Source organism: Homo sapiens, chromosome 6 (assembly GCF_000001405.40).
Source record: "Homo sapiens chromosome 6, GRCh38.p14 Primary Assembly".
NCBI lineage: Eukaryota > Metazoa > Chordata > Mammalia > Primates > Hominidae > Homo > Homo sapiens.
The window spans coordinates 108510547-108529170 of record NC_000006.12 but is presented as its reverse complement, the minus strand read 5'-3'; the positions used below and the strand labels follow the sequence as shown (position 1 = coordinate 108529170).

The following is an 18624-nucleotide window of genomic DNA, read 5'->3' as shown; positions in this document are numbered from 1 at the left end:
TCCCAACATCACTGGCTCTTGTCGACTGCCAAGGGGCCAGTGGCAGAGTATTAGAGTACTGCAGCTGTGTGAGTGCCTGAGACAGTATCACTGCAAAAGGTGTAGCACTGCCAGAAAATATTTCAGTGTGGAGGATTGGGTTGGGTAACTATTTGAGACACACTGAGTTTACGCAACATTCAAAAGGAGAGATCCAGTAGGCAATTGGAAGTACAGAACAGGAGACTGGTGGAGTCAGGGATGGGAAGACACACTTGAGAATAACTGGCATCGGCTGGTATTTGTTGCTATGGACATCAAGAAAAGAGTGTGAAAAAGACGTTATGTGTGAAAGTACTTTGTATAATATTGGGTGTTGTTTTTTATAATCGCCATTTTTATGTGGATCCAAGAAAGAACTTAGATGGTGAGAAAAGGAAAAGGAACCAGAAGCTTTCAGAGAAGGAGGAGCTGAGACACAGGAGGAGAAGCTAAAGAAGAGAGTTGCAAGGTTGGGGCTGGGCTGGCAAAGTGCTTAGGGCTCAGAGCAGTAGGCAGCAACAAGGATGACATGAGGCAGTGGCTAGGGGGTCTCAATGGGTAGACTGGCTACCATCTTCTCCTGTATTCAAATTCCCATCCAGCTTGGCCCCACCCTTCCCATGCTTAGCACCCCCTCTCCACTCCAGTTGCCAATACCAGCTCTTACCAGTGGGCTCCAGTGGGCACATGGGAATCCTTCATCCCATTAGCAATAAACTCAGCCTTGTCCAAGGGTGGTCCAGGGACCCTTGAGGGACCTGTGACTCTTAGTGAGTCCATGAGGTCAAAGTCATTTTCCATAAAACCACTAAGACATTATTTACCTTTCTCACTCATTCTCCCACATGCACACAGTTGATTTTTTCAGGAGCTACATGATGTGTGATATTCCAACAGAATCTGTCTGTATTTTACTAAACCAGACATTGGCAAAAATTTAAAACAATGCCACTTTTCTCACTAACTTGTTTTTTGTTTTGGAAATGCTGTTACTTTTCATAATGCTATTTAGGTAATATTTCATGTGCTTATTGTTATTTTTAAATGAATTAAATATCTAACAATTTCTGTTTGATTTCTAATACTGGTGATTATATATCCCACCCACATAAAAGCTCTTTGGGGTCTGCAAGCATTTTGAAAGTGGAAAGTGGGGCCAAACGTGGTGCTCATGCTTATAATTCCAGCACTTTGGGAGGCCAAGGTGGGAGGATCACTTGAGCCCAGGAGTTCGAGACCAGCCCTGCCAACATAGCCAGAGCCCATCTGTGTTTTAAAAAAAATTTTAAAAATTAGCTCAGCATGGTGGTGCATATCTGTAGTCCCAGCTACTTAGGAGGCTGAGGTGGAAGGATCACTTGAGCCTGGGAGGTCAAGGCTGCAGCGAGCCATGATTGTGCCTGGGTGACAAAGTAGGACACTCTCTCAATTATTGTGAAGATTAAATATTTCAAAGTTTGCCAACCACTGATTCCAGTTCTTTGCCATCACATATGGGGTTGTGCAAAACAACACCCTTGTGCATACCCCTACACCCACATCTTTCCTGTTCTAGCCTCAAGACCCACGATGACTTTAAAATGGGGGCTACTATTATTACTACTACCAGAAGGGCTGCAGAGCACAGGGTCGGGATCCAGAAGACATATGCTTACTCGATATGCTTGTGAAACCACTTACCCTCCGAGTGCCCCAGTTTCCTCATGGGTAGTAGGATAATTGCATCTCCCTTGCAGAATTTGCTGTGGACGACGGATATGGTAGGAGCAAACGATCCTTCCGCCTTGGCCTCCTAAAGTGCTTTCTAAACTAGGAAGTGCTGCGTGGTTAACTATTTTGACGTTGTTAGTGTGGGTGGAGAAGAAAGGCAGAGGAGCCTTGGTCCCCAGGGAGGAGAGGGGTGGGCTCTGGGAGGTGACTTTGTGTGTGCCAGTGTGCTGATGACCTGGGCTCCAGGAATCATAGCAACAGCCTCTGCTCCCTGGAAAGTGCCGTGGTCTCTGCATCAGGCGCCCAGAGTCAGGACCCAGCTGCAGGCAGGGCTCTCTGTGCGTACCGGCTGTGTAGTCACAGGCAAGAGCTCCACGGCCTGCCTGATTGGCGGTGATCAACCCTGCTGCACCTTAGAATCTTACAAGGAACATTAACAAGTGCTGATGCTGGGGCCCCACATCTGACCCACCATACCTGACCCTGGATGTGGACCTAGGCCTAGGAATGTGTAGCCTTGAGAACCACTGGCCTTTTTTTTTTCTCCTGTCAGTTCATCCTACTGACCACAAGATGGTGCCCTCTTTCTGGGAAATCTTTGATGTTCACCAAACAAGCAACAATTCATTTTCTGTATTAATCCTGAAAACATGGATTTGAATTTAACAATCTTCTCCAGCATCTCATTAAGCCAGACCCGTGTGCTCTTGGTGTCTAGCCATTTAATGCGTATCTTTTCCCTTCTGTTAGAAACCAGTGGGTTGGAATGTGTCTTCTGTTTTGCATTCCTCAAAAGGCTATAACACAAAGCAGAAAGTAGGATTTATGATCATAATCATTAGTATCAATAACAACTGATGTTCGTTTAATCCTTTGCCATTTGCAAAGCGCTTTTCACCAACAATCCTCATAGTAACTCTATGAAATGGGCATTATGATTCCCATTTATAAGATGACACAACTGAGGCTCAGAGCACTATCTTGGTCGAGGTCACAAAACAATAATTAGCAGAACTGAATTTTCCAATGCCAGATCTCAAGCCCTTTCCACTGCATCATTAGAGACCAGCAATCAACCACCGGGAACCCAGAAAGTACAGCCCTGAGACAGGAAAATTCTCGGGACGACATCCAGAAAGCCCCCTAGGCAAGCAGGTAAGACAGACTGATGGCTCCATGCAGCACAGACGAAAGGTCAGTGGACAGGCATGTTTGACTGGACCGAATGACCAGCTAGGGCAACAGATGTGAGGGTCCTAGTGAGCTGCTGGACTGAGTCAGTAGACACTCGACAAGAGGGCAGATTTTAACATTTGTAATTTTCTGTTCCAGAAAAATGAACTGCTATATGCCAATAGGGAACATTCATCTTAATTCTGACTGTAAAAGAAGTTATAAACTCATTTCCAAAGAAAATCCTTTCCTACCAGCAAGTGACTTCTTTTGAGATTAGTAAATCTAATAAAGGTAACTTACAGACTTGCTGCAAGACAGATTCCCGTAACTGATCAAGAACCCAAATGTCAGGGACCCAGGCGCCCAATCCTTCTGCATGTTTTTAATCTCAGATAAAGCAGCCGTCAAGTGTAGGTTCAAGTTACTTGGACCAGCAATACTGTTTTCAGGACAGAGGCAATGAAATGGAAAATTTAATACGTTAGCACTTTGCTAATTTTATTGACTTCGGTTATATCTTAGCAATTCATTAATCTGTTTTAGCTGTTTTCTGTGTCTCAGCTTCCCTGTCTATAAAATGATTATAATGGCACCTATCTCATAAGACTGTTATATGGATCAAAAGAGTTTATTTATAAAGCACATAGAACCATGCCCAGGACACAGAAAACATCATGTGTTTCTTAAATAAATAAATGGATATAAGCACATCCACTTATTTTACAAGTGAAATTTTAATTTTTTTCAATATTCCAACTAATTTTAAAATTATGTCATTTGCACACTTATAAGTACAGGAAATATACTTTAAGAAGATAAAAGTATTGCCTTATTATTAAAATTTGAAGTCCCACTGAAAATGCATAAATTTGATTAAAATAATACTACAGTCTTTTTGGCCTCAGAAATAGGTTAAAAATTACTTAAGTCCATCCTGTTTTTCATCTCAGGATTAGTGATATCAGCAAATAAGCTCATACACTGCCTAAAGAAATATGAGAAGTGATAAGATTTTTCTTTTTCTTCTCTAAAGAAAGTTTTCCTTTTTCTCCGCTTGACCTCTGTTAAGTCTGGGAACTAGTCATCAGTTTGGAGAGCACCCTTGGCACATGATGTTTTCTCCTGACTCTAAAGACATCCCCCCGGTCTGTGTTTTGAATTGAGCAGGAGCTTTCCACAGCAGTACTCAGCTCAAACCTCCGTCTCAAAGTATACATTTAAAGCATTTCAAAAAAAGAGCATTTGCTGAGAGACTTCTATGGAGAAAGACTGGAATGCTGAGAATGTAATAGGGGCAGGGCTCAGAAGAAAGACATATAAAGTGAAATGTTGCTCTCCAATCTAGGGGTTGTTTTTCATGTTGGCATTACTTTTCTTTTAGTAGAGCTACCATACTGTTTCCTAGTGATGGCTATTCTTGAAGACTTGGGTTTTTTTCTTGCATGCTATTTTATGAAACCAGCTTTGGAGATTTCCAGCCACCATGGAACTCCCTCCCCTCCAGAGATCCAGCCAAAGCCTTCTAGCCCCACTTTCTGCATAAACCCTTCTCCCAGCTCAAAGAGCCTCTTCCACTGCAGCCAATCCCAGCAGGCCCCTGGAACTGGGGAAGGAGATTGCGGATTGGGGGCACAGAAGTGGGCACATGCTCCAGTTACTTAGGTGGAGACTGAGCTACAGTTTTTTTCTCAGGGTTTAAGTTCTTTCGTACCAAAATGACATTATAGGGAAGCTACACTGAGAATTACATAGGCTTCTATGCGTTTGACCAGCACCCCAACTAACATTACGTGATTGTTTCGATGGAAAAATGAAACTTTATTCCCAATATCTGACCTCAGATGAACTTTTATAACATAACTTGACAGGGGGACTCTTCTACATACACTCACACTCAGGGACAGGTCTGTCTATCGGTCATACTGTCCATCTATCTGTCTGTCCATTCACATGATTTTTTTAAAAATTAAGATACAGAATAATTACCAAAGGAATGTGAAAAGTAAAAAGCTAAGATCTAAAGAATAAAGTTAAACATTTTATATTCACTGAGTTCAAATCAATGGTTCTGTTGTGAATTTATCTTCAACTTCATTCACTGAGTTAAATGAATCAATTTTTAAAACAATCTCTTTTTTTTAAATAGTAAGAGTAAGAGACAGTGTGTTATAAAATATAGTATATGAGTTTTGTAGTTGTAAACTGTGAATCTCAGGTCAAGCTACTTAACTTTCCCAAGACTCAGTTTTCTTATTTTTAAACAGGGGTTATAATATTCACTTTCTAAGACTATTTTTTTTAACTGAGCTAATGTAAATATATAGCATTCAATCCAGCACAAAGTGGTTATTTCCCATCCTTTCTCCCTATTACGTAACCTCTTTGAAATTACTGTGTTTCACTTCAATAAAAATATCTTTAAACCACATTTTATTTACAGAAGGCTTGATTTAAACTCTTCTCTCGGCTTGGGTACTCATCCATCTACCTGCTTGCCTTAATTAGGTTAATATCTAAAAGAGACTATGTGATGGATTATTGACTAAGAAATTAAATAGGGCCATGCTGTGCCACACTACCCCTGCCAGGAGATGGCTAGAGTGGCCAAGATATAAAAAATAAAAATAATAATAAATAGAAAATAAATAGGTTCAAAGAGCTTACTTATGTTGACCATTGTATTCATTGGACTGACTCACCTATGCCTTACCTTCCCCCAAATGCTTAATTTTCACAAGATTTTGTGGATTTTATATTTTTTCTGTTTTTCACACTCATCCACAGCCGAAGATCCACTTTGTGACAATAGTTAGTAAAGCCAGGTTTTACTCAAAGAAGCAAAAGATGAGCTCAGTGAAGGACAAATCAGATTTCCTGTGAAGCAGGCTTGTCAGGCTTTCTTTCCTATTTCCTATTAGGTCCATCTCACGGCAGAGTTGGCGGCAAGGGCGGGGGCAGCATGCTGCAAGGAGAGCAAGTGTCTACAACAGTGAGAAGGAGCCTGCTGTCCACTGGGGTACGGCTGGCCTCATGTGAGCGGGAGTCTCCTCTGCTGTTGGAGTGCCTACGACTCTGACACCCACCCCCCCGCCCACACTCTCTCACTGGTCCCCATTCCTGGCTGCAGAGTTTGTAGCTCTGCCTGCAGATCTGCCTGTTGGCTGGAATTTGACACTTGCTCCTTATTTGATCCCATCATAATTTTCTATTTTTTTTTAGAAAACTTTGTGACCACTTGAGATCAAGTCCTGCCTACTAAACTTGATCTCAGGGTTAAAAACATATTCTTCCATTATGTAGAAATCTGAAGGCCTGGGAGATTTACTGTAATTCATAACCAAAAAAAAAAACCACATATAAGCCCATATTCTAAAATATTATCCCTTTTAGTTTATATCAGATTGGAAAACTGTCTTTGTTTTGAATTGAAACATAGGGCATTCTTCCCCCATTATAAAAGATGTATTTCTAACATGCCACCACCATGCAGCCAAAGCTTGAAGGTATCCAGACGTCTTGCATTTACTTGTGCATTCAAGGTTCATTCAGGTGGTTTAATGTGAAGCTAAAATGTCTGGTCCTACATTCATCTTCAGGAATGAGATGATTTTAATTTCATGGTGCAGAAATAAGGCCAAATAAGAAAAAGCAGACCTAAAAAATGTTAAGTGTTTAACTTACTAATCCACTAGATCCTTGAGAGCAATTTTAGATTAAAATGGTCCAGAGGACAAAGTGCATAATTAATGATGAGAAAATGATTCCTTCAAGTCCCACAATAAGGAGTTCTGCCTGCGTTAACCATTTGTCTAGAGTTTTATTTATGCAAAAGTGGCAGTTACTTCTTGGTTCTGTCTCCTTCATTCCAGTACTGTTCAGTCTGCATTTCCGTGAGTCGGGAAATTGTGCGCTGAAATGCAAAGATTTCCTCTTCTCCGGTAAACATGGAGAGTCCTTCTGCTGAATCCTGGTTATAAAACAAAGAAATTAAAATAAAGCTATCACAAATGAAAATTTACAGAACCTAAGTATAGGTTTAAAAAAACTTTTTAGGCTTACCGGTTTAGATTATGCCTTTTTTTATAACTTTTTTTTTCCATATACAATCTCTTAAATGAGACTAGAGAGTCAACCAATTTAAACTGATAGGCAGTAAACACATCAAATTATCAGAGAGAAAACTTAAAAGGGAAAACTTTCTCCAAAAGTGTACACCAGAAATAAGTAATGGCAAAAAAAAAACCAGTAGTTCTGAGAAGCTAGAAAGAGGCTGGTGTAGGCCTCCAGACAGGGTCCCAGTGCCTAAGGGGGAGGCCCTAAGGACAAACCTCTGGAGAGCGTTTTCCAATCCAACCAATGACTAAAGGAGAGCAAATGCAAATGAGCAGTGGGTCTGGGTTCTGGAGAATGTGCCTGGGATCTAAAAGCCAGGGCTGAAAGGCAGGGCTGTTTTTAGTCTTCAGCTGCTGGGACAACTGATCCCACCATCTAGGACCAAATTGGGAAACTCTGTCTCTGTGAGGCTGGTAACCCCAGACTGGTGATACCAACACAGACTCATGGCCACTAAGTGGGCTTGGAATTTTTCTCTTTCCTTAGGGGTTTGCTAGTATGCTTTTTCAGAGAAAAATTCTAGATTCCTAAGTCCATCTTCTCCACTGATCCATTGTGAACCTTCATGACCCTGAGATCACATTCCCTGATTTCTTCATGCATGATTGGCTCTGTCTGCTGAGCTTATTTTTTCTTGATCCTAGGGGAATTTGAGATAGGGTCTCACTCTGTCACCCAGGCTGGAGTGCAGTGGTGCCATCTTGCCTCACTGCAACCTCTGCCTTTTGGGTTCAAGTGATCTTCCTGCCTCAGCCTCCCCAGTAGCTAGGATTACAGGTGTGTGCCACCACACCCAGCTAATTTTTTTTATTTTATTTTTTATTTTTTGTAGAAATGGGTGTTTCACCATGTTGCCCAGGCTGGTCTTGAACTCCTGAGCTCAAAGCAGTCTGCCCACCTCGGCCTCCCAAAGTGCTAGGATTGTAGGAATGACCCATTGCACCAGCCTAGGGGAAAAAAGTTTTAAGAGCCAATGATGTAAACTTTACCAACCTTTTGGCACCAGGGGCCAGTTTCGTGGAAGACAATTTTTCCATGGACCAGGGGCAGGGGGATGGTTTCAGGATGAAACTGTTCTAGGTTAGAGCTGAATGTTTATGTACATCCAAAATTCATATGCTGAAATCCTAACCCATAAGGTGATGGTATTGGAGGCGGAGCTTTTGGGAGATGATTAGGTCTTGTGGGTGGAGCCCTCATGAATGGGATTAATGCCTTTATAAAACATGCCCCAGAGAGATCCCTCACCCCTTCCACCATGTGAGGTTTATACAGAAAAGACAGAGGCTTAGGAACTAGGAAGTGGGCCTTCATCAGATGCCAAATCTGGCACCCTGATCTTGGACTTCCCAGCCTCCAGAACTGTTAGAAATAAATTTCTGTTGTCTGTAAGCTACCCAGTTCATGGTGTTTTGTTATAGCAGACTAAGACATACACATAGGTTTAAGTCATCATATTGGAAAGTTCACTTTTTAAATTGGCCTCGTTCTCCCAAACTCCTGAAAATGCCTCATTTCTATTCAGGTTGATAAGGAATTGTTTCCTTGTTCCAGAGGTCTTTCACCTGTGGGGCTGGAAGAATTGGGCTCCCCTCATGGGGTGAGTGTTGATAGTTGTAAACTTTTGACTAATATTTCAGTTGTCGATAGTTGAGAAACACATCTCATAACGTTCTTATAGAAGAAGAAAACGCAAAGTCACTTCTAGTTGGCCTGGGGTGAATCACCAGACTCCAAGCTCCAGGAGAACTGGACTAGCATCTGTTTGTTCCCTACAGAGTGTCCTCAGAGCCTGGCACCCACAGGTACTCCATAAATGTTTGCAGAATGGAGGTTGAGAGATTAGTTAGGGATTTCTTTTCAAGCCTGGGGCCTTGCTAGGCACTCCATGGTCCTGGACTAGCCAGCCTACATGCTTGGATACTGTATCATGCACTCTACAAATCCAGCAATCATTTAGAAAGATACCCAGAAAGGGCAGCATGGTATAGCAGAGCAAGCCCAGAACCGGGCACAGGTGGTTTGGCATCCAGCTCTGGCCTGCCATTATTCAGCAGTGTGACTGTGGGCACCTTAGTCCACCTCCGTGGGCTTCATTTTTATCACATGCAAAATGGAGCACTGAACTACATGACCACTAAGGTTCCTTCCACTGTAAGTTTATAATTTTCTATATTCAGTGATATTGAGAATGATAAATTTGCTACATGGGCTTATAGAAGAAGCGCCAATCAATGGTTAACTATACACTGCATTTCTTCTTCAAAATGTAGCCATGCATCAAACCAAAAACAATTAAGCTGTTTTATAATAAAAAGAGATTATGTTAATATCGCCTACCTGGCTCAGCCCCAAATCATCCATCAGTATTCTGCTTTGCTCCAACTCACTGTCATGATGTTGATGCAAAAATAAGCTTGATATAGGAGTCGACGCAGAGCAAATTATACGCACCTGAAATAGAAGAAAATGGGTAAATGTGTTACTCTTTACATTTCACAAGTTGAAGGTAAGAAAAATCTCACAAAATAAAAGTCTGTTTTTCACATACAGGAGCTTGGATCTTTGCTTTTAAGACGTCCATTTTTTTTCCCTAATTGTTTATCTCTTTAAAGCAGTGTTTTAAAACTGCATAGTACTTTTCAGAATATTTCCACACAACTCATACCACCCTGTGAAGTAGGGCACAAAGGTTTATTGGGAGACTTCAGGGCTGGAGAGGACTCAGCTCAAGATGTCAGCCCAGATCTTCAGTTCTTAGTCCAATGCTTTTGCCATTACTGCTCTGGTTTGAATGTTTTTGTCCCATCCAAAATTCATGCTGAAACTTACTCCACAATGCAACAGGATTAAGAGGTGTGGCCTCTAGGATATGATTGAGTCATGAGGCTCTGCCTTCATGCATGGGATTCGGTGCCTTTATACAGGATTTGATGGAGGGAGTTCACCACTTTTTGCCTTCCATTCCTTCCACCATGCGAGAACAACATTTGTGCCCTCTGGTGGCAACAAAGCAGATAGTAGCCCTCACCAAACACCCAAACCTGCTGGCTCCTTGATCTCAGACCTCACAGAACTGGAAGAAATAAATTCCTATTATTTATAAATTACCCAGACCATGGTATTTTGTTATAGCACCACATACTGACTAAGATGATTACACTGTGATGTTGACATTTATACCTGGCTGTTTGGAGCTGGTCTGTGCACCTAAGACGCTCCCCAGGGACACTGTAAAGAGGTTAGTTACGCTTTTGCTGCACAGCAGACTGCTAAGTTCAGTGCATTGCTATTCTAATTAGGCCAGTGAGTGTCCAGAACCTACATTTATTATCTTAGCATCCTGCTAGGACATTCTTCAAAAAGACTAAGATTTACATTAATATCTCTTGATTACATAAGTATTTGAATGAGTGTTCATATGTGATCATATATTGGAAACAGCTTTTATATTTTTTATATCCACTAGTTTAAATACAAAACATATTCTTTTTTTTATTATTATACTTTAAGTTTTAGGGTACATGTGCACAACGTGCAGGTTTGTTACATATGTATACATGTGCCATGTTAGTGTGCTGCACCCATTAACTCATCATTTAACATTAGGTATATCTCCTAATGCTATCCCTCCCCCCTCCCCCCACCCCACAACAAGCCCCGGTGTGTGAAGTTCCCCTTCATGTGTCCATGTGTTCTCATTGTTCAATTTCCACCTATGAGTGAGAACATGCGGTGTTTGGTTTTTTGTCCTTGCCATAGTTTGCTGAGAATGATGGTTTCCAGCTTCATCCATGTCCCTACAAAGGACATGAACTCATTTTTTATGGCTGCATAGTATTCCATGGTGTACATGTGCCACATTTTCTTAATCCAGTCTATCATTGTTGGACATTTGGGTTGGTTCCAAGTCTTTGCTATTGTGAATAGTGCCACAATAAACATACGTGTGCATGTGTCTTTATAGCAGCATGATTTATCATCCTTTGGGTGTATACCCAGTAATGGGATGCCTGGGTCAAATGGTATTTCTAGTTCTAGATCCCTGAGGAATTGCCACACTGACTTCCACAATGGTTGAACTAGTTTACAGTCCCACCAACAGTGTAAAGTGTTCCTATTTCTCCACATCCTCTCTAGCACCTGTTGTTTCCTGACTTTTTAATGACTGCCATTCTAACTGGTGTGAGATGGTATCTCATTGTGGTTTTGATTTGCATTTCTCTGATGGCCAGTGATGATGAGCATTTTTCCATGTGTCTTTTGGCTGAATAAATGTCTTCTTTTGAGAAGTGTCTGTTCATATCCTTCACCCACTTTTTGATGGGTTTGTTGTTTTTTTTCTTGTAAATTTGTTTGAGTTCATTGTAGATTCTGGATATTAGCCCTTTGTCAGATGAGTAGATTGCAAAATTTTTCTCCCATTCTGTAGGCTGCCTGTTCACTCTGATGGTAGTTTCTTTTGCTGGGCAGAAGCTCTTCAGTTTAATTAGATCCCATTTGTCAATTTTGGCTTTTGTTGCCATTGCTTTTGGTGTTTTAGACATGAAGTCCTTGCCCATGCCTATGTCCTGAATGGTATTGCCTAGGTTTTCTTCTAAGGTTTTTATGGTTTTAGGTCTGACATTTAAGTCTTTAATCCATCTTGAATTAATTTTTGCATAAGGTGTAAGGAAAGGATACAGTTTCAGCTTTCTACATATGGCTAGCCAGTTTTCCCAGCACCATTTATTAAATAGGGAATCCTTTCCCCATTTCTTGTTTTTGTCAGGTTTGTCAAAGATCACATAGTTGTAGATATGTGGCATTACTTCTGAGGGCTCTGTTCTGTTCCATTGGTCTATATCTCTGTTTTGGTACCAGTAACATGCTGTTTTGGTTACTGCAGCCTTGTAGTATAGTTTGAAGTCAGGTAGTGTGATGCCTCCAGCTTTGTTCTTTTGGCTTAGGATTGTCTTGGCAATGCGGGCTCTTTTTTGGTTCCATATGAACTTTAAAGTAGTTTTTGCCAATTCTGTGAAGAAAATCATTGGTAGCTTGATGGGGATGGCATTGAATTTATAAATTACCTTGGGCAGTATGGCCATTTTCACGATATTGATTCTTCCTACCCATGAGCATGGAATGTTCTTCCATTTGTTTGTATCCTCTTTTATTTCATTGAGCAGTGGTTTGTAGCTCTCCTTGAAGAGGTCCTTCACATCCCTTGTAAGTTGGATTCCTAGGTATTTTTTTCTCTTTGAAGCAATTGTGAATGGGAGTTCACTCATGATTTGGCTCTCTGTTTCTCTGTTATTGGTGTATAAGAATGCTTGTCATTTTTGCACATTGATTTTGTATCCTGAGACTTTGCTGAAGTTGCTTATCGGCTTAAGGAGATTTTGGGCTGAGACGATGGGGTTTTCTAGATATACAATCATGTCATCTGCAAACAGGGACAATTTGACTTCCTCTTTTCCGAATTGAATACCCTTTATTTCTGTCTCCTGCCCGATTGCCCTGGCCAGAACTTCCAACACTATGTTGAATAGGAGTGGTGAGAGAGGGCATCCCTGTCTTTTGCCAGTTTTCGAAGGGAATGCTTCCAGTTTTTGCCCATTCAGTATGATATTGGCTGTGGGTTTGTCATAGATAGCTCTTATTATTTTGAGATACATCCCATCAATACCTAATTTATTGAGAGTTTTTAGCATGAAGGGCTGTTGAATTTTGTCAAAGGCCTTTTCTGCATCTATTGAGATAATCATGTGGTTTTTGTCTTTGGTTCTGTAGATATGCTGGATTACGTTTATTGATTTGTGTATGTTGAACCAGCCTTGCATCCCAGGGATGAAGCCCACTTGATCATGGTGGATAAGCTTTTTGATGTGCTGCTGGATTCGGTTTGCCAGTATTTTATTGAGGATTTTTGCATTGATGTTCATCAGGGATATTGGTCTAAAATTCTGTTTTTTTGTTGTGTCTCTGCCAGTCTTTGGTATCAGGATGATGCTGGCCTCATAAAATGAGTTAGGGAGGATTCCCTCTTTTTCTATTGATTGGAATAGTTTCAGAAGGAATGGTACCAGCTCCTCCTTGTACCTCTGGTAGAATTCGGCTGTGAATCCATCTGGTCCTGGACTCGTTTTGGTTGGCAAGCTATTAATTATTGCCTCAATTTCAGAGCCTGTTATTGGTCTATTCAGAGATTCAACTTCTTCCTGGTTTAGTCTTGGGAGGGTGTATGTGTCCAGGAACTTATCCATTTCTTCTAGATTTTCTAGTTTATTTGCATAGAGGTGTTTATAGTATTCTCTGATGGTAGTTTGTATTTCTGTGGGATCAGTGGTGATATCCCCTTTATCATTTTTTATTGTGTCTATTTGATTCTTCTCTCTTTTCTTCTTTATTAGTCTTGCTAGTGGTCTATCAATTTTGGTGATCTTTTCAAAAAACCAGCTCCTGGATTCATTGATTTTTTGAAGGGTTTTTTGTGTCTCTATTTTCTTCCGTTCTATTCTGATCTTAGTTACTTCTTGCCTTCTGCTAGCTTTTGAATGTGTTTGCTCTTGCTTCTCTAGTTCTTTTAATTGTGATGTTAGGGTGTCAATTTTAGATCTTTCCTGCTTTCTCTTGTGGGCATTTAGTGCTATACATTTCCCTCTACACACTGCTTTGAATGTGTCCCAGAGATTCTGGTATGCTGTGTCTTTGTTCTCGTTGGTTTCAAAGAACATCTTTATTTCTGCCTTCATTTTGTTATGTACCCAGTAGTTCATTCAGGAGCAGGCTGTTCAGTTTCCATGTAGTTGAGTGGTTTTGAGTGAGTTTCTTAATCCTGAGTTCTAGTTTGATTGCACTGTGGTCTGAGAGACAGTTTGTTATATAATTTCTGTTCTTTTACATTTGCTGAGGAGTGCTTTACTTCCAACTATGTGGTCAATTTTGGATTGGTGTGGTGTGGTGCTGAAAAGAATGTATATTCTGTTGATCTGGGGTGGAGAGTTCTGTAGATGTCTATTAGGTCCGCTTGGTGCAGAGCTGAGTTCAATTCCTGGATATCCTTGTTGACTTTCTGTCTTGTTGATCTGTCTAATGTTAACAGTGGGGTGTTAGAGTCTCCCATTATTATTGTGTGGGAGTCTAAGTCTCTTTGTAGGTCTCTAAGGACTTGCTTTATTAATCTGGGTGCTCCTGTATTGGGTGCATATATATTTAGAAGAGTTAGCTCTTCTTGTTGAATTGATCCCTTTACCATTATGTAATGGCCTTCTTTGTCTCTTTTGATCTTTGTTGGTTTAAAGTCTGTTTTATGAGAGACTAGGATTGCAACCCCTGCCTTTTTTTGTTTTCCATTTGCTTGGTAGATCTTCCTCCATCCTTTTATTTTGAGTCCATGTGTGTCTCTGCATGTGAGATGGGTTTCCTGAATACAGCACACTGATGGGTCTTGAATCTTTATCCAATTTGCCAGTCTGTGTCTTTTAATTGGAGCATTTAGCCCATTTACATTTAAGGTTAATATTGTTATGTGTGAATTTGATCCTGTCATTATGATGTTAGCTGGTTATTTTGCTCGTTAGTGGATGCAGTTTCTTCCTAGGCTCGATGGTCTTTACAATTTGACATGTTTTTGCAGTGGCTGGTACCGGTTGTTCCTTTCCATGTTTAGTGCTTCCTTCAGGAGCTCTTTTAGGGCAGGCCTGGTGGTGACAAAATCTCTCAGCATTTGCTTGTCTGTAAAGGATTTTATTTCTCCTTCACTTATGAAGCTTAGTTTGGCTGGATATGAAATTCTGGGTTGAAAATTCTTTTCTTTAAGAATGTTGAATATTGGCCCCCACTCTCTTCTGGCTTGTAGTTTCTGCCAAGAGATCCACTGTTAGTCTGATGGGCTTCCCTTTGTGGATAACCCGATCTTTGTTCCGTTGCTAGCGAGGAGCTGCCTTCCTTTGGAGGAGGAGAGGCGCTCTGATTTTTAGAATTTTGAGTTTTTCTGCTCTGTTTTTTCCCCGTCTTTGTGGTTTTATCTGCCTTTGGTCTTTGATGATGGTGACGTACAGATGGGGTTTTGGTGTGGATGTCCTTTCTGTTTGTCAGTTTTCTTTCTAACAGTCAGGACTCTCAGCTGCAGGTCTGTTGGAGTTTGCTGGAGGTCCACTCCAGACCCTGTTTGCCTGGGTATCAGCAGTGGAGGCTGCAGAACAGCAGATACTGGTGAACAGCAAATTTTGCTGCCTGATCGTTCCTCTGGAAGTTTTGTCTCAGAGGAGTACCCGGCCATGTGAGGTGTCAGTCTGCCCCTACTGGGGCGTGCCTCCCAGTTAGGCTACTTGGGGGTCAGGGACCCACTTGAGGAGACAGTCTGTCCGTTCTCAGATCTCAAGCTGTGTGCTGGAAGAACCTCTACTCTCTTCAAAGCTGTTAGACAGGAACATTTAGGTCTGCAGAGGTTTCTGCTGCCTTTTTTTTGGCTATGCCCTGCCCCCAGAGGTGGAGTCTACTGAGACAGGCAAGCCTCCTTGAGCTGCAGTGGGCTCCACCCAGTTGGAGCTTCCCAGCCGCTTTGTTTACCTACTCAAGCCTTGGCAGTGGTAGGCGCCCCTCCACCATCCTCGCTGCCGCCTTGCAGTTTGATCTCAGACTGCTATGCTAGCAATGAGCGAGGCTCTGTGGGTGTAGAACCCTCCAAGCCATGCGCGGGATATAATCTCCTGGTGTGCCGTTTGCTAAGACTGTTGGAAAAGCGCAGTATTAGGGTGGGAGTGATCCGATTTTCCAGGTGCCATCTGTCACCCCTTTCCTTCGCTAGGAAAGGGAATTCCCTGATGCCTTGTGCTTCCCGGGTGAGGCGATGCCTCGCCCTGCTTCAGCTCATGCTCGGTGCGCTGCACCCACTGTCCTGCACCCACTGTCTGACAATCCCCAGTGAGATGAACCCAGTACCTCAGTTAGAAATGCAGAAATCATTCATCTTCTGCGTCGCTCATGCTGGGAGCTGTAGACTGGAGCTGTCCCTATTTGGCCATCTTGGCTCCACCATACAAAACATATTCTTCTTGATGTTTTAAAAGTCCTGAATTTGTCTTCAGGATTCATAGCTATCTTTAAAAATCATTATTTAAATAATAATACACCAGTACTTAAAAATCATGTGTTGACATTCGACACTAGATTTTCCATATCCAAATGGCCTTCTACCTCCTCTTATAAGTTATTTTAATCAAAGACAATTTTTCATTATTTACATGGGTATATCCTTCTGTCACAAATCTCCATGAATACATTCTAGAATAATGTCTGTTTAATGCTACCAATTTTTGAAATAAAATGGTTTTGACTACACTTTAATAAAAAGTATAATCTCTAAATGTGTGATTTAGTTAAAGGGAATGTTAGGAGGGTAGTTTGAATATTCTATCATATTGCCAGAAAAATTCTTTTTTCCTTCGATTAAGAAGTGAAAAGGTGGGGGTGAGGTAGGGTTAGGGGGTGGGACTGAGGGATGGGGACCATAAGCTTTCTGTAAGGCATTCCTAGCTGAAATATCAAAATAACGAGTCTCTCCATCCTCCACTATGAGCCATCCTATTCATGCCCCTCTGTTGTCTTCTTCTTGAAGCCTAGTCCTGTAAAAACAGCAGCCTCCAGGCCCCTGCCCTTCATTCCACCCCTGCCCTCCCCACCATTACTGTAGAGTCGAGTCTGTGGAAGGCCACCACTCACAGCTGATGGGCCTCCATCCCCCAGCTCTGTGTCCTCAGCCTTCTGCCTCTCCAGATTACCCATCACATGTGTGTGGGCTCCGCGGGGATGCACAGCAGCTTTTGATAGCACTCCCTTAGGTGGGCTTCCCTCAGCTTCTGCATCAGAGCCACACTTGCTGCCTTTCACATTCGGCCCATCCCAGAGAGGTTGCTGCAAACTCCCCATGCTGGTTACCCATTTTCATTCTGTGCATAGAGTTTAGCCCTCACTCTTCTCAGCATTTATAAGAAGCACCTGAGAAACATGAGAACATGCAGTTCCTGGCCCCATGCCTGGTACTCATTTGCTGGGGTGGGAATGGGTGAGCTCTGGAATCTGGATTTTTAAGTAGGCCACATGGTTCTGCCATAGGTGGCCCTCAGAGGATTTCCCACCCCATAGATCAGTGCACTCTCCCCTGCTAGACTCTCACAGCACCATATGCCTCCTTCTCTGTCTAACAGGTCATCCCACAGTGGTGATTTTACATCGAGTTCTGTGGACATCTGATTCACGTTTCTCTGATATCAGGCTATCTAAGCTCTTTGAAGGCAAGCACCATCTAGTTTCACTTGCCACTGAATTTCTAGCGCTTGGCATGATGAAGTTTACAGAATGAATGAGCAAATGAAACATTAAATTGTCACCTCTCCCTCCCAGCAGATTCTGTTGCTTATCTTCTTCCCACAAAGCCCCTTCAATTTAGAATCACTGGTCTATCTAATTCTGTGCAAAGAATAGGGAGAAAAAAGTATATCTAATGGTAAAATAATATTTAAATTAACTCTAATTTCAAATTGTACTTTTGCTATGAATCTATATTTACAGATATATTCTACTAATAGCTCACTTTTACTGAGAGCGTACCATAGGCCAGACAACATTCTTTGTGCTTTACATGCTTGTTTAATACAACAACTTTATAAGTACCATTATTATCTGTTTTTTCTAGAAAAGGCAGTTGAAGCTCAGAGAGATTAAGATGGCCTTTAGGATAGACAGCCTGACCCCAGGGCCCACTCTTGAACCAGTAGGCCATGCTGCCTTTGATGAATGGGCAGTGACTTGGCAATTCACACTAAAACATGCGGATTAAAAACAAACAAACAACAAGATGGTATAATGCTAGCTACTGGGGTTTCTGGGTCATAGGGAGAGAGAGAGCTTCAATATTCAGAAGGGTCCTCTAGTCATTCACTCATTTGTTTTCTTCTCCTTCTCCTTCTCCTCCTTCTCCTTCTCTTCCTTCTTCCTTCTTCCTTCCTCCTACCTCCCTCCTCCTCCTCCTCCTCCTCCTCCTTCTACTTCTTCTTCTTCTTCTTTTTTTTTTTTTTTGAGAGATAGGGCCTCACTCTGTCACCCAGGCTGGAAGGCTGCAGTGCAGTGGGGTGATCATGACTCACTACTGTAACCTTGAACTCCTGGGCTTAAGCAATCCTCCCACCTTAGCCTCCCAAGTAGGCAGGATGACAGGCCCTCATCACCACACCCAGCTAATTTTCTTATTTTTTGTAGAGCTAGGATTTTGCTATGTTGTCCAGGCTGGTCTTGAACGCCTGGCCTCAAGCGATCCTCCCTTGGCCTCCCAAAGTGCTGGGATGATAGGCATGAGCCATCACACCTGGCTTGCTCATGCATTATTCTATCAGTGCAATCATTTATTCATGCAACAAATACTTACTGAGCATTCAGTTTATGCAAGACATTGTGTTTTAGAACGTGATAGATGAAGCGCATAAGCTGTCTGGTAGAATGATGCAATCATTCATATAGCAGAGTGTCTTGTGATGGGAGCTTTACTATAGTACTACTGCTGCTTCTACTGATAGTGCTTATACAGCATTCAGCTTGTGCCAAATGTTTTAAATGCTTTACATG

The 18624-nt window shown here is 41.8% G+C and overlaps 1 protein-coding gene across 9 annotated transcripts in view; it reads right to left on the bottom strand.

The window, feature by feature from the left end:
* Positions 1-3169: 3169 nt before the first annotated feature.
* The window catches only part of AFG1L (AFG1 like ATPase), a 230948-nt gene continuing 215493 nt past the window's right edge, over positions 3170-18624 (bottom strand). For all 9 annotated transcript variants that reach the window (NR_136553.2, NM_145315.5, NM_001323005.2 and 6 more), the window contains 2 exons: positions 9361-9474; positions 3170-6874 (listed from right to left, as the gene is read on the bottom strand). Coding sequence is in view for 8 of the 9 variants with exons in the window: in NM_145315.5 (NP_660358.2) it covers positions 6746-6874; positions 9361-9474 (243 nt within the window). In the remaining variant the exon portion in view is untranslated. The remainder of the gene's footprint in view (positions 6875-9360; positions 9475-18624) is intronic.